The following is a 13,055-nucleotide window of genomic DNA, read 5'->3' as shown; positions in this document are numbered from 1 at the left end:
AAGAACAAGAAAGGTAAAACAAAAGGTGAAGAAAAGTTAAAGCCGTCCTATGAGGGTGGGAAGACTGACTGGAAAGAGGCAATAGAAAGTTTCTGGAGAGAAAGAAACATTCTATCTATACTTTGAAAGGGGGATTGGGTTTCATGTGTTTACTTAATTGTCGTAATTGTCCAGCTCAGATTTGTGAATTTGAATTATGTAAATTTTATCTTAAAGAATTACCAATGACTGAGTGGATGGTGAGAAGTGGAGGAATGCAAAAACGAAACAAGAATGTCATAACGATAACTTGTTTCTGAGTGATGGGTACATGGTGATACATCATACTATAAACTTCATTGTGTTTATTTTGTATAGTCCCTAAATTTTCCAAAACAAAAAATTAAATAAGAGGAGTAGAAAGTATGCAGAGCAACTATGTGGGAGGGAAGGAGAGATGAGCTTTATAAAAGAACAATAACTGGATAGGAGAATGTTTGAGGGCAATAAATAAATAAATACAAAAAAATTAAAAAGAAGTTAGAAGAAAACATTTTTAAAAGTTAAAAAAAATAATAAAAGCAAAGAAAAACAAGTGATAACTTGGTTTGAAGGCCTTCATGGAAAAGTCATTACAATTGGGCTCATTTGGTAGAGTTTAGGCATGCAAAACTGAAGAAAGGCCATTTCAGAGAAATAAAACAATGTAAAGAAAATGATAAATACACATATTGGTGTTGGGCTATTTAGAGAACAGTTTAAGTATTAGGCGAAGAAAAAAGAACGATGGAATATAAAACTAAAAAAGTAGATGGGGGATGAAATCACACAAAAAGGATAGAAATGTTAGGCCACAGAAAACACATTAGTCAATGGGGAATTATTCTACATATTCAAGTTTGTAATGACAGGATAAGAGCTAAACTTTAGAAACTTTCATCTAGCAGTGAAGAATAGTATGGAAGCAATACAAGTCTCTCTAACTGATAATGATGCCCTAACAGGGCAATGATAGGGAGAATGGAAAGCCACGGACACAGGCAGTAGAGCTGGTATTTGATGGCTAAGATTTTAAAAGAGCAAATATCAAGTTACATAGCTTTGAAAAGGTTTAAAACACAGAGATTCTTCTCCTTAGCACAAAATAATGCTGAGAAAACTAACCTACTGAAAACAGAATATCATGAGGTCTGATACCAATTTCCTCAAGATTTATGACTGGAAGTGCTGATTTACAACTAGAAGTGCCAATCCAATTAATGTTGAAATTTCAGTTTTGGATGATGTTTTAAAAATAACCTTGTTATGGAACTACTATAAAAGCAAAAGCAAGGATTCCAGATTTACCACAAAGTACTCCAAATAGCAATGAGTATATTTTCTATGCTTTTTTGTCTCTACAGAAATGCTCTTAAAACAAAATGGACGTATATCAGTGTTAAGGGTATCTTATCTAATAAATTTCTTTGTTCCAGCCCCTACCACCACTACCAATGGCCTTGGCCTTGAAAATAATGCTTTGTATGTATTCAATGGAATTAACCTTAGTGAACAGAAGTCATAACTGCCCTCATGTAACTTCTAACGAACAAAAAGAGGGAAACATGTAACTAAATTACTAGTAAAAAATCCCCTGCATATTCTTGAAGTATATTAGTTTCTTATTTGAAAAATTTCTATGCAAGGTTAAATTCACAATTATTAAAGCCGCTTTTATTATGTGAAGGGCTTTATAACTGATGAAGATTATTTGCTTGACCAAGCCTTCTCCTAGGCCCATCTGTGCACTTTCTTGTAAAATTCAGTTTTAGCAAAAAACTCTGCTAAGTCAGTACAGCAAAAACATTGATAACTGATCACCCTGGATATCTAATTGCATTCTTCATTCCCCACCATCCCCAGGAGATGTCTGATTATCTTGGCCTGTCTTCAGAAAAAAATCCTTCTAGGTGAGTTTAGCCAGAATCACCTTTTAAGTCTGATATTTCCTTTTAGTAATTTTCTATCTACTAACTCTCCATCCCTTCTCATTGGCTATAAATTCCCACTTGCCCATGTTGTATTGTGAGTCTCTCTCCCTCACTGTAAAATCCCATGTCAGTGGTCCTTACATCTATCGCAATGACCCTAAATAAAGTCTTCCTTAATGTACTTTAACAAGTATCACTGAATAAATTTTTCCTTAACATTAGGACAATTATTGTCTATTTCAATGGCAATAACAAAAATACTGGCTTGAAGAAGGATTTGAGAGGGCACAGAAGACAAGATGGCTGACTAGACACAGCCAGGAAGTGCCTATGCCACCAAGAGAGACCAAAATATCAAGTAAACAAACATACTTTGAACAAATCTTCAGAGAGGAAACACCAAGAGTTCAAAGGCAACATAGACACTGAGGGTGAAGAGAGAGGAAACTGGGAAACCTGTGTGGGGTTTCCGAATGTGAGGGCTAGTTCCTGCCACTGAATGGCTCCTAGGGAAGACAGCGGTGCTCTAAACTTGCTGAAATACAAAAGAGCGACAAGTCAGAGCCAAAGCCTATCTATCGGCCATTATACTTAAGCACCATCTACTGGTTGACAGACCAAATTACAACACCAAAAATATTCTGCCAATATACATCATCTGTGAAACCCAGGGAAAGAATCTACTCACAAATAAAAATCCTGTACAGAGTCTTGGCCCTCTGAAAACACTTAGAAAAGAAGCCAATTGAGTATACTCAACTTATACCACAGTTAAAGGAACACCAGCCCACTCAGATGAAAAAGAATCAGCAAAAGAACTCTAACAATTCAAAAAGTCACTGTCCTCTTCTTTCCAAAAGAGTGCAGAAGCTCCCCAGCAATAGATCTTAACCAGATTGAAATGACTGAAATGACAGACAATTCAGAATCTAGATAACAAGGAAGTTCAATGGCTTTACGAGAAAGGTGAAACCAATTCAAGGAATCAAAGGAATCCAGTAGAACTATCCAAGAGCTGAAAGACAAAATAGCCATTTTTAAAAAGAACCGAACTGAACTTCTAAAATTGAAAAATTCACTACAAGAACTTCATAGTACAATCAGAAGCATTTACAGCAGAATAGACTAAGCTGAGAAAAGAAGCTCAGAGCTTGAAGACCAGTTTAGTTCTTTCAATTCAACTTAGACAAAAATAAGGAAAAAAGAATATTTTAAAAATGAAAAAAATTTCTGAAAAATATGGGATTATATAGAGACCAAACCTAGGATTCATTGGCATTCCTGAGAGAGAAAACAACTTTGAAAACATATTTGAAGATACAGTTTATGAAAAATACCCCAATCTCACTAGAGATATCAACATGCAAATTCAAGAAATACAGAAAACTCTTGTGAGTTTTATACAAGATGACCATCCCCAAGACACACAGACATCAGATTCACCAAGGCCGATGTTAAAGAAAAAATCTTAAAGGCAGCTAGAGAGATGAGTCAGGTCACTTATAAAGGAAACCCCATCAGGATAGTAGCGGGCTACTCAGCAGAAACTTACAAGCCAGAAGAGATCGGAAACCAATTTTCAGTAGCCTTAAAAAGAATAAATTCCAATGAAGAATTTCATATCCCACCAAAGTAAGCTTCAAATGCTAAGAATTTGTAACCACTAGACCAGCCTTATAAAAAGTCCATAAGGGAGTGCTAAACATGAAAGTAAAAGAACAGTATCTGATACCACAAAAACACAATTAAGCATATAGCCCATAGACACTATAAAGCAGCTATGCAAACAACTCTACAAAACAACCAGCTAAAAACACAATTTCTGTATCAAAACTTCACATATCAATGCCAACCCAGAATGTGAATGGAATAAAGACCCACTTAAAAGGCATAGGATGGCAAGCTGGACAAAAAGACAAGATCCAACTGTCTGCTGTCTTCAAGAAGATGCATCTCACATGTAACAATACCGAAAGCCTCAAAATTAAAGGGAAAAAGAACTGCCATACAAATGGAAAACAATAAAGAGCAGGAGTTGCAATTCTAATATCAGATAAGGCAGACTTTAAACTGAAAACAATTAAGAAGGGCAAACAAGGGTATTACATAGTGGCAAAGGGTTCCATTCAACAAGAAGACTTAACTACCTTAAGTCTATACACACCCAACATTGGAGCATCCAGATTCATAAAACAAGTCCTTTTTGACCTAGAAAAAGACCTCAATAGCCACATAATAATACTGGGAGATGTCAACTCCCCAGTGACAGGATTAGACAGATCACTGAGGAAGAAAACTAACAAAGAAATTCCAGACTTAATCTTGACAGTCCACCAATGGGACCTAATAGACATCTATAGAATAGTCCACCCAAAATCACATAATATACATTTCTCTCATCTGCATAAGAAACATATTCTAAGATCAACCAAATGTTTTGGTCATAAAGCAAGTCTCAATAAATTCAAAAAAATCAAAATCATATTAAGCACGTTCTCACATCACAGTGCAATAAAAACAAAAACCAACACCAAGAAGATCTCTCAAAGCTACACATATACATGAAAAGGAAGGAATTTGCTCTTGAATAAGTTTTGGGGAAATAATGAAATGAAGGCAGAAACCAAAAAACTATTCGAAATTCACAAAAACAGAACCACATATTAACAAAATCTTTGGGATGGAACTACAGCATGTTAAGAGGAAAGTTTACGGTGCCAAATGCATTCATCAAAAATTAGAAAGATCTCAAATTAACAATCTAACTTTGTACCTAGAGGAACTAGAAAAAAAAAAAAAACCACAAAGCTAATAAAAGAAAAGAAATAATTAAGATCAGAACTGAATTAAATTAAGACACAAAAATCCATACAAAAGATCAATGGAAAGAAGAGTAGGTTTATCGGAAGAATAAAAAAGATTGACAGACTTCTCATTAGATTAACAAAGGAGAAAAAGGGAAGATCCAAATAAGCACAAACAGAAATGACAAAGATGACATTACAACTGATCCCACAGAAATACAAAACATCCTCAGAGACTATTATGAACATCTCTATGAACACAAATAAGAAATCTAGAGGAAATAAATTTATGGGAACACACAACCTCCAAAGATTGAACCAGGAAGAAAGTGAAAACCTGAAAAGACCAATAACAAGTTCCAAATTTGAGTCAGTAATTAAAAACCTACCAACAAAAAAAAAGCCATGGACTAGAAGGATTCACACTGAATTCTACCAGGCATACAAATAAGAACTGGCACCAATCCTACTGAAAATATTCAAAAAAATTGAGGAGGAGGGACTCCCCCTGCTCCCTAACTCATTCTACAAGGCCAGAATTATCCTGATACCAAAATCTGGCAAAGACACAACAAAAAAGAAAACTTCAGGCCAATATCCCAAATGAACACAAACACAAAACCCTAAAAAAACAAAAAAAAACACAAAAATACAAAAAAAAACTAGCGAAATGAATCCAGCAGCACATTAAAAAGTTAATTCACCATGATCGAGTAGGCTGTATTCTTGGATGCAGGGTTGGTTCAACATATGCACATCAATAAATGTGATTCACCACATAAACAGAATCAAAAACAAAAAGCATATGATCATCTCAATAGACAAGAAAAAGCTTTCTACAAAATCCAACATCTCTTTATGATAAAAACCCTCAACAAACAAGGCTTCGAAGGAACATACCTCACAATAATAAGAATGAAAAACCTTATTCATTCTTATTATTCATTCTCACAATGAAAAACCCACAGCCAACATCATACTGAATGGGCAAAAGCCGGAGTCATTCTCCTTGAGAACTAGAATGAGACAAGGCTGCCCACTCTCAACACTCCTATTCAACATAGTACTGAAAGTGCTAGTCAGAATAATCAGACAAAAGAAAGAAATAAAATACATTCAAATAGGAAAGGAAGTCATATTACCTCTCTTCAGTGATGATATGATTCCATACCTAGAAAACATTAAAGATGCTGCCAAAAGGCTCCTGGAACTGATAAATAAGGATACAAAATCAATGTACAAAAATCAATAGCACTTCTATACACCAAAAACATTCTACCTGAGAGCCAAATCAAGAACACACACCAATTTCCAATAGCAAAAACCTATGCATACATCTAACCAAAGAGGTGAAAGATCTCTACAAGAACTACAAAACACTGCTGAAATAAATGAGAGACAAGACAAATAAATGGAAATATATTCCATGCCCATGAATTGGAAGAATCAATATTGTTAAAATGGCCATACTGGTCAAAGCAATTTATAAATTCAATGCTATTTCTATCAAACTACCAACATCATTTTTTGCAAAATTAGAAAAGCCTATTCTAATATTCACATGGAACAAAAGCAGATCCCAAATCGCCAAGGCAATACTAAGCAAAAAGAACACTACCTGACTTCAAACTATACTATAAGGCTATAGTAACCAAAATAGCACGGGACTGGTACAAAAACAGACACATAGACCAATGGAACAGAACAAAGAACCCAGAAATAAAGCCATACACCCATAACCATCTGATTTTCAACAAAGTCAACAAAAGGAAGCAATGAGGAAAGGACTCCCTGTTCAATAAATGGTGCTGGGATAACTGTCTAGCCACATGCAGAAGAATGAAGCTAGTCTCTACCTTTCACCGCATACAAAAATTAACCCAAGATGGATTAAAGATGTAAAGATAAGACCTCAAACTACAAAAATCCTACAAGAAAACCTAGGAAATGCACTTCTTGACATCAGGTTTGGCAAAGAATTTATGACTAAGTCCCCAAAAGCAATTGCAACAAAAATGAAAATTGACAAGTGGGACCTAATTAAACTAAATAGCTCTGCACAGAAAAATAAATTATCAACAGTAAACAGCCTAGAGAATGGGAGAAAATATTCACAAACTATGCATCTGACAAAGGTCTAATATCCAGAATCTATAAGAAACTTAAATCAACAAGCAAAAAACAAATAACTCCTTTAAAAAATGGGGCCAGGTGCGGTGGCTCACACCTGTAATCCCAGCACTTTGGGAGGCCGAGGCGGGCAGATCAAGAGGTCAGGAGATCGAGACCATCCTGGCTAACACAGTGAAACCCCGTCTCTACTAAACAAAATAGAAAAAATTAGCCGGGCTTGGTGGCAGGCACCTATACTCCCAGCTACTCGGGAGGCTGAGGCAGGAAAATGGTGTTAACCTGGGGGGCAGAGATTGCAGTAAGCTGAGATCCTGCCACTGCACTCCAGTCTGGGCGACAGAGTGAGACTCCGTCTCAAAAAAAAAAAAAAAAAAAATCGGCAAAGGATATAGACACTTATCAAAAGAAGACATTGTAAGTGGCCAAGAAATAAATGAAAAATGTTCATCATCACTAATCATCAGAGAAATGCAAATCAAAACTACAACAATATACCATCTTACACCAGTCAGAATGGTGATTATTAAAAAGTCAAAAAATAATAAATGCTGACAAGCCTGGGGAGAAAAGGGAACACATATACACTCTTGGTGGGAATGCAAGTTAGTTCAGCCACTGTGGAAAGCAGTTGAGAGATGTCTCAAAAACTTACAACAGGACTACTGTTTGACCCAGCCATCCCATTACTGGGTATATACCCAAAGGCAAATAAATTATCCTAAAAAAAGACATATGCACCGATATGTTCACTGCATCACTATTCACGATCGCAAAGATATGGAATCAACCTAGGTGCCCATCGATGGTAGAGTCGATAAAGCAAATGTGGCACATATACACCATGGAATACTACGCAGCCATAAAAAGACTGAAATGTGTCCTTTGCAGCAACATGGATGTGGCTGGAGGCCATTATCCTAATTAACACAGGAACAGAAAACCAAATACTGTATGTTCTCACTTGTAAGCGTGACCTAAATAACGGAATACATATGGACAGAAAGATGAGAACAATAGACATTTAGAGTTGTCTAAAGGAGGGAGGGGGGAGGGAGGGGGAAATGGGCTGAAAAACTACCTATCAGATATTATGCTCAGTACCTGGGTGACAGGATCATCTATATCCCAAACCTCAGCATCATGCAATATACCCATGTAACAAATCTGTACATGTACCCCCGAACCTAAAATAAGAAATTATTTTTAAAATATATACATAGGCTTAAAACTAAAGAATAAATCATTTTAAATCAGACATATGCATTTCTGAGTATATATACTGTTACATATTGGAATATTTTTCTAATGAAAAGAGTAAAATCTGTTTTTCTAAAGTATCTTTTTAAAAAGAGGAACTTACAAGTTTATATTTTAATTATACTCCAAAATTATAGCCAGAAAAAATATTTCGGTCAGTGGATAGTGTTTCATAACCAAGTGTCTGCAAAGCAACTATTCAGTTAGGTTTGTGGATTTCTATTCATACCCGAATGCGTACACATACATATGCATACAAATATCTATATACATATTCTATATAGTATATTTTTCAATTTTTGTTAAGAGAATAACTTTGGAAAATAATCTTCAATTAGAGTAGAAGAAAAAAAACAAAAGCATTAAATGGCATACATTCCTGCTGTAGATGTTTACAAATGCAGGTGCCAGTAACAGAGTTCCTACAAATCAATCATGATACTACCACCTATATTACTGCCTATACTTTGCAGCTCTACAAAGGACTCTATGACACATGAGGACTCTATGAGTCAGAATTCCTCATGTATAAAATAGGATAAAATGCTACCTATAGTTCATGCAATGTTATGAGAATTAAATGAGCTAATCCAATTAAAGTGCTTACTCTGATAGGCTAATATTAAAAACAAGTGTTCATTCCCCAAGACCTAAATTAAGAGACATATTTTGTCATAGTGGACAATGTACATAAAGAACTTTACATAAAGGACAGTGAAATATTTGTCTCAGATAATACTAACATTAATCATAAGATGTATAATCAAACTATTAAATGTGAAGAAATATCAGTTTCCATCTTTCTAATTTTTAGATTTGAGGAATTATGATTCCTTCATTACAACTACAACTGACCTATGTAGAAATAGAATAAAAAATTAAAAATTTTGTTTGTGACAAAAGTGACCTAACTTATCAAGTATTTATTTACCAAGATAAATATTTAAATATATCATTTGATAATATCTAAGATAAAACAGAAGTATAGTTGCAAGGTACATTCAATATAAGAATTAAAATCCCATTCCCTTCACCATACAAAAATAGGAATTGTGTATAAAAAGCTACATAAAAATACTTAGCATAACAGTTCATAATTGAAAACTGGATATATCTATATATCTAATGTCCTACTGCTGAAGATCACTTATGATACAGGCATTCAGTGGAAAATTATATAACCATTTTAAATGACTTTGAACTAAATTTTTGGTGGCATAGGAAAATGTTCACAAAGTTGAAAAAAGCAAGGAACAAAAGTGTTCGTACGGTATGATTCAAAGTTTGTAAAATAGTATAGATGTGTGTGCATACACCACACACACACAAAAAAACCCTGAAAATGTATACATCAAAATATTACTATTTCTGGATAGAGGGATTACAGGGATTTTAAAACTTGCTTCTTGTGTGTTTCTGTATTTCCCATATTCTTTTTGTAATCTAAAAGTTAAAAGATTTCAAAATCCTACTGTTTTAGTTTTTATCCATATATAAATTTTGTACCAGGAGGATTTCATAGACACCAAGACTCCAAATATGATCCCATGTTTAAGAATACAATTTTTTCAATTGTTTTTAATAAAATACATTCTCAGTGACACCTATCTTAGTCTTGTAAGCTTGATATGTTTAACGGAGAGAACCAAAATTGAACACTGGATCAAAAAACAATCTCTTCTTGGGAGAGGAGGGGAACTTGACCAAGAGCAAATGTTGATAATATTGAAATATATGAATTAATTTATAACTCTTATTTCAAAATGTTCAATAACTCTTGGCACAGAGAGGACTTTTTATTGGCTTTTTGTTGAACACTATGTGATTCTTAAAACTGTCATCTTCCACCCCCCTCCTTAATATATATGAATCCAAGCTTGCAAGTCATATTAACATATTCTTTCTTTAGTTTGGTAGAAATTTGTACTTTTGACCTTGAATTTTCCCTACTACCTAATCAGAGTTTTATCATAAATAAACATTTACTATTGCAGGCATTAAAATGGAATAGGACTTAATAATTAGTAAAGTTCCTTCCTAACTTCAGATTTTATGAAGATCTAAGTAACTGATGAAAAATTGAATCCTTTAACATGAAAAAACAAAATTCGTATTCACATTTCAAGTTATATGTGTCAAAGCACTGGTGCTGAAACAGAATAGGTTATCTTCTAATTTCACATCACTGAGTTATTCACTGCAGTAATGAGGAAATATATTCTTGAGAAAGTTATGCTGGGAAATTACCTAACATTCTCTGACAATAAAAACAAAACTAACAATAAAAAGAAAAGCAGGCCAATGGTGTGAAAAAAAATTATGGATTAGTATGGTGTTTTCTGATTATAAAGCTAAATATAAGGACAGGATTTTTGCACTTTGATCACTCTCACAGTGTTGCACTGAAAATAAAACATTAATACATAGAATGGAAGAACACTGATCAACACAATCTACAATATTTACATAGAAATTATTAGTCATAAAGGGTTTTGGAGTATTCATTTAGGTAGGCAGTAACATTTCCTGAGGGCTTTCTATGTGATAGGAACTTTGCTGGTTATCAGAAACGCAAAAAATGAAAAGCCACAATTCTTGCCCTCAACAAGATCATACACAGGTAAGTTTACACATCCACCACCTATGATAAATCAGCCCAGTTACAAGGACACCAAATCTGAAATGATAATCACTATGATGCCTATTGAAGTTAGAATATTTGGTTTAAAATATTCCCTCTTAATTTTTTGGTTTTTACAATGCAGTTAAGAGGTATGGCTAATGAGATGCATTGAAAAACATGATGAGTATATTACAAAAGTATTGTATATGGGGGAAAATCTTTGTATTTCAGCAATTTTTAATATTTACTTGAATTTTTCCCAAAAAATTGGGAAACAATTTTTTCTCCCACAAAACACCCACTATTTGCAGTCCTATTGCACAAATGTCAATCTATTATTGGTTTTTCTTCTTCCATAATAAGAAAATCATACATTTACATTAAAACATTGCCTTGTTCATCTTTAAGACTTCCAATTAATGGTGCTATGCTTTAGTTCCCAGTATTACAAAGGCAGAATAAATTTTTAAATAGTACTGGAAAAAATGGTCATAGAGTGAGTATATGAATCCCGAAAACTGAAAACTAAAGAGGTTGCCCCTTCACCATCACTTTCCTATTCCCAAAAGACTAGAATCATTGAACGTATTTGATGTAAAAAATGAGTACCTTCTGAAATAGTTCATCTCCTACATCCTCATAAGCCAACTTGATGAAATCTTATTGATTCTAAAAGCCTCCATTTAGAAACCATCACCTAAAGCCTTTCCGTGGTCTCCAAAATAATCTTCCCTCTGAATATCCACTACATCTTGGTAGCACTACACTTATGCTACTTATTTCAAACTACCTTAAATTTAGTTATTTGAGCAAAACACCTTTAACGCTTTTAGATAGAAATAGCTCCTAAGGGTAAACAACATGTCTTGGTATCAGTTATACTACTTTGGTGGTGTCCTCAAACACTCATTGATTGTTCAACACTGTACAAGGAACTTAACCTCTTTATTGTATAGTATGTGTTATAATACCTACCTCATAGGATTGCTATGACCAATAAATGAACACATATTAAATACAAAGAAATACGATCAATCCTCATCCACAGATTCCGCATTTATGAATTTGTCTACTCAATAAAATTTATTTGTATCCCAACATCAATATTCGTAGCACTTTGGCAATAATTTGTGGAAATGTGCAGGAGGAGGAGAATTTTGAGTCACCTGATTTGCATCCTATCAGCTGAAACTGAACAAATGCTCTGCTTTGTTTCTGCTCTCATACTATAAAGGATTATTCTTTTCACAGTCTATTAAGTGCAACAATGTTCTCATTTTTGTGCTTTTTGTTGATGATTTGGCTATTTAGAATGCCCAAGTGCTATCTAGTGTTCCTAAGCACAAGACGCCTGTGATATGCCTTAAGGAGAAAATATGTGTGTTACAAAAGCTTCCTTCAGGCATGAGTCATACTGCTGTGGGACATGAGTTCAATATTAATGAATCAACAATACATATTTTAAATAAGTTGTCTTTAAACAGAAATACACATTTTTTAAAAGTTACGTATTGATAGGTGAACAAAAATGTTGTGACCAGAGGCTTACAGGAACCTAACATTGTAATTCCAGTAAGAGCTAATTTATTATTCACTGCTACGTCACAGAACAAATCTACTTCAAGCAGTGAGAATCAACTGTACTTAGAATACTGACAAATATATAGTTAAGAGCTAAGGAACTATTAACTACCATTACAATTTTATTGTTAATAGCACATGGTAGGTACTTGATCATCTGTTAAAACAGTGCCTGAATAAAATAAAAATAAGGACTAGGTTTTAAAAAGGAAGAAAATTTCCAAATTATTTTTATATAACAGATATATAACATTGGCCCCAAAACTTCACAAAACTGCACAGAAAACTGTACAAATCAAACACACTGAAGAATAATGATGCAAAAACTTTAAATGAGATAATATGCAAAAGAATCCAAAACACTAAAAAACATTTGAAAGAGGGGTACATGCCAGAAATTCAAAGGTTTCTAATATTAAAAATGCATTAATAAAATCCATTATATTAACAGAAGATTATATGTTCATTTTCATAACTGCTAAAAATTCAAGTGACATAATTCAACATCATACATAATTACCAAAATAAAAATTTTAACGTTTACATAGAAATTAAGAGGTATTTTTTAGCCTGAATACATATAGATATAGATATAGATATACAGATATATAGATATACACATGTGTCTGTACTTCCCAATTAGCCAGCAACTTACTAAATTGGAAATGTTAGGTACTTTCTCATTAAAATAAGGAATAAGACAAGGAT

General features: G+C 33.8%; 1 protein-coding gene across 20 annotated transcripts in view, besides 1 other annotated feature; it reads right to left on the bottom strand.

Moving 5' to 3' along the window:
- The window catches only part of GPHN (gephyrin), a 1,227,209-nt gene that overhangs the window by 1,122,566 nt on the left and 91,588 nt on the right, over positions 1-13,055 (bottom strand). The window lies entirely within an intron of this gene.
- Positions 2,519-2,588: an enhancer, noted in NCBI's record as "active region_8570". NCBI's record gives its function as "activates an Ori minimal core promoter by ATAC-STARR-seq in GM12878 lymphoblastoid cells {active_cell/tissue: GM12878}" and the evidence as "EXISTENCE:reporter gene assay evidence [ECO:0000049][PMID:35858748]".

The sequence above is a fragment of the Homo sapiens genome, chromosome 14 (genome assembly GCF_000001405.40).
Source record: "Homo sapiens chromosome 14, GRCh38.p14 Primary Assembly".
Lineage (NCBI taxonomy): Eukaryota > Metazoa > Chordata > Mammalia > Primates > Hominidae > Homo > Homo sapiens.
Note: the sequence above shows the minus strand (reverse complement) of the source record. Positions and strands in the feature narration are given on the sequence as shown.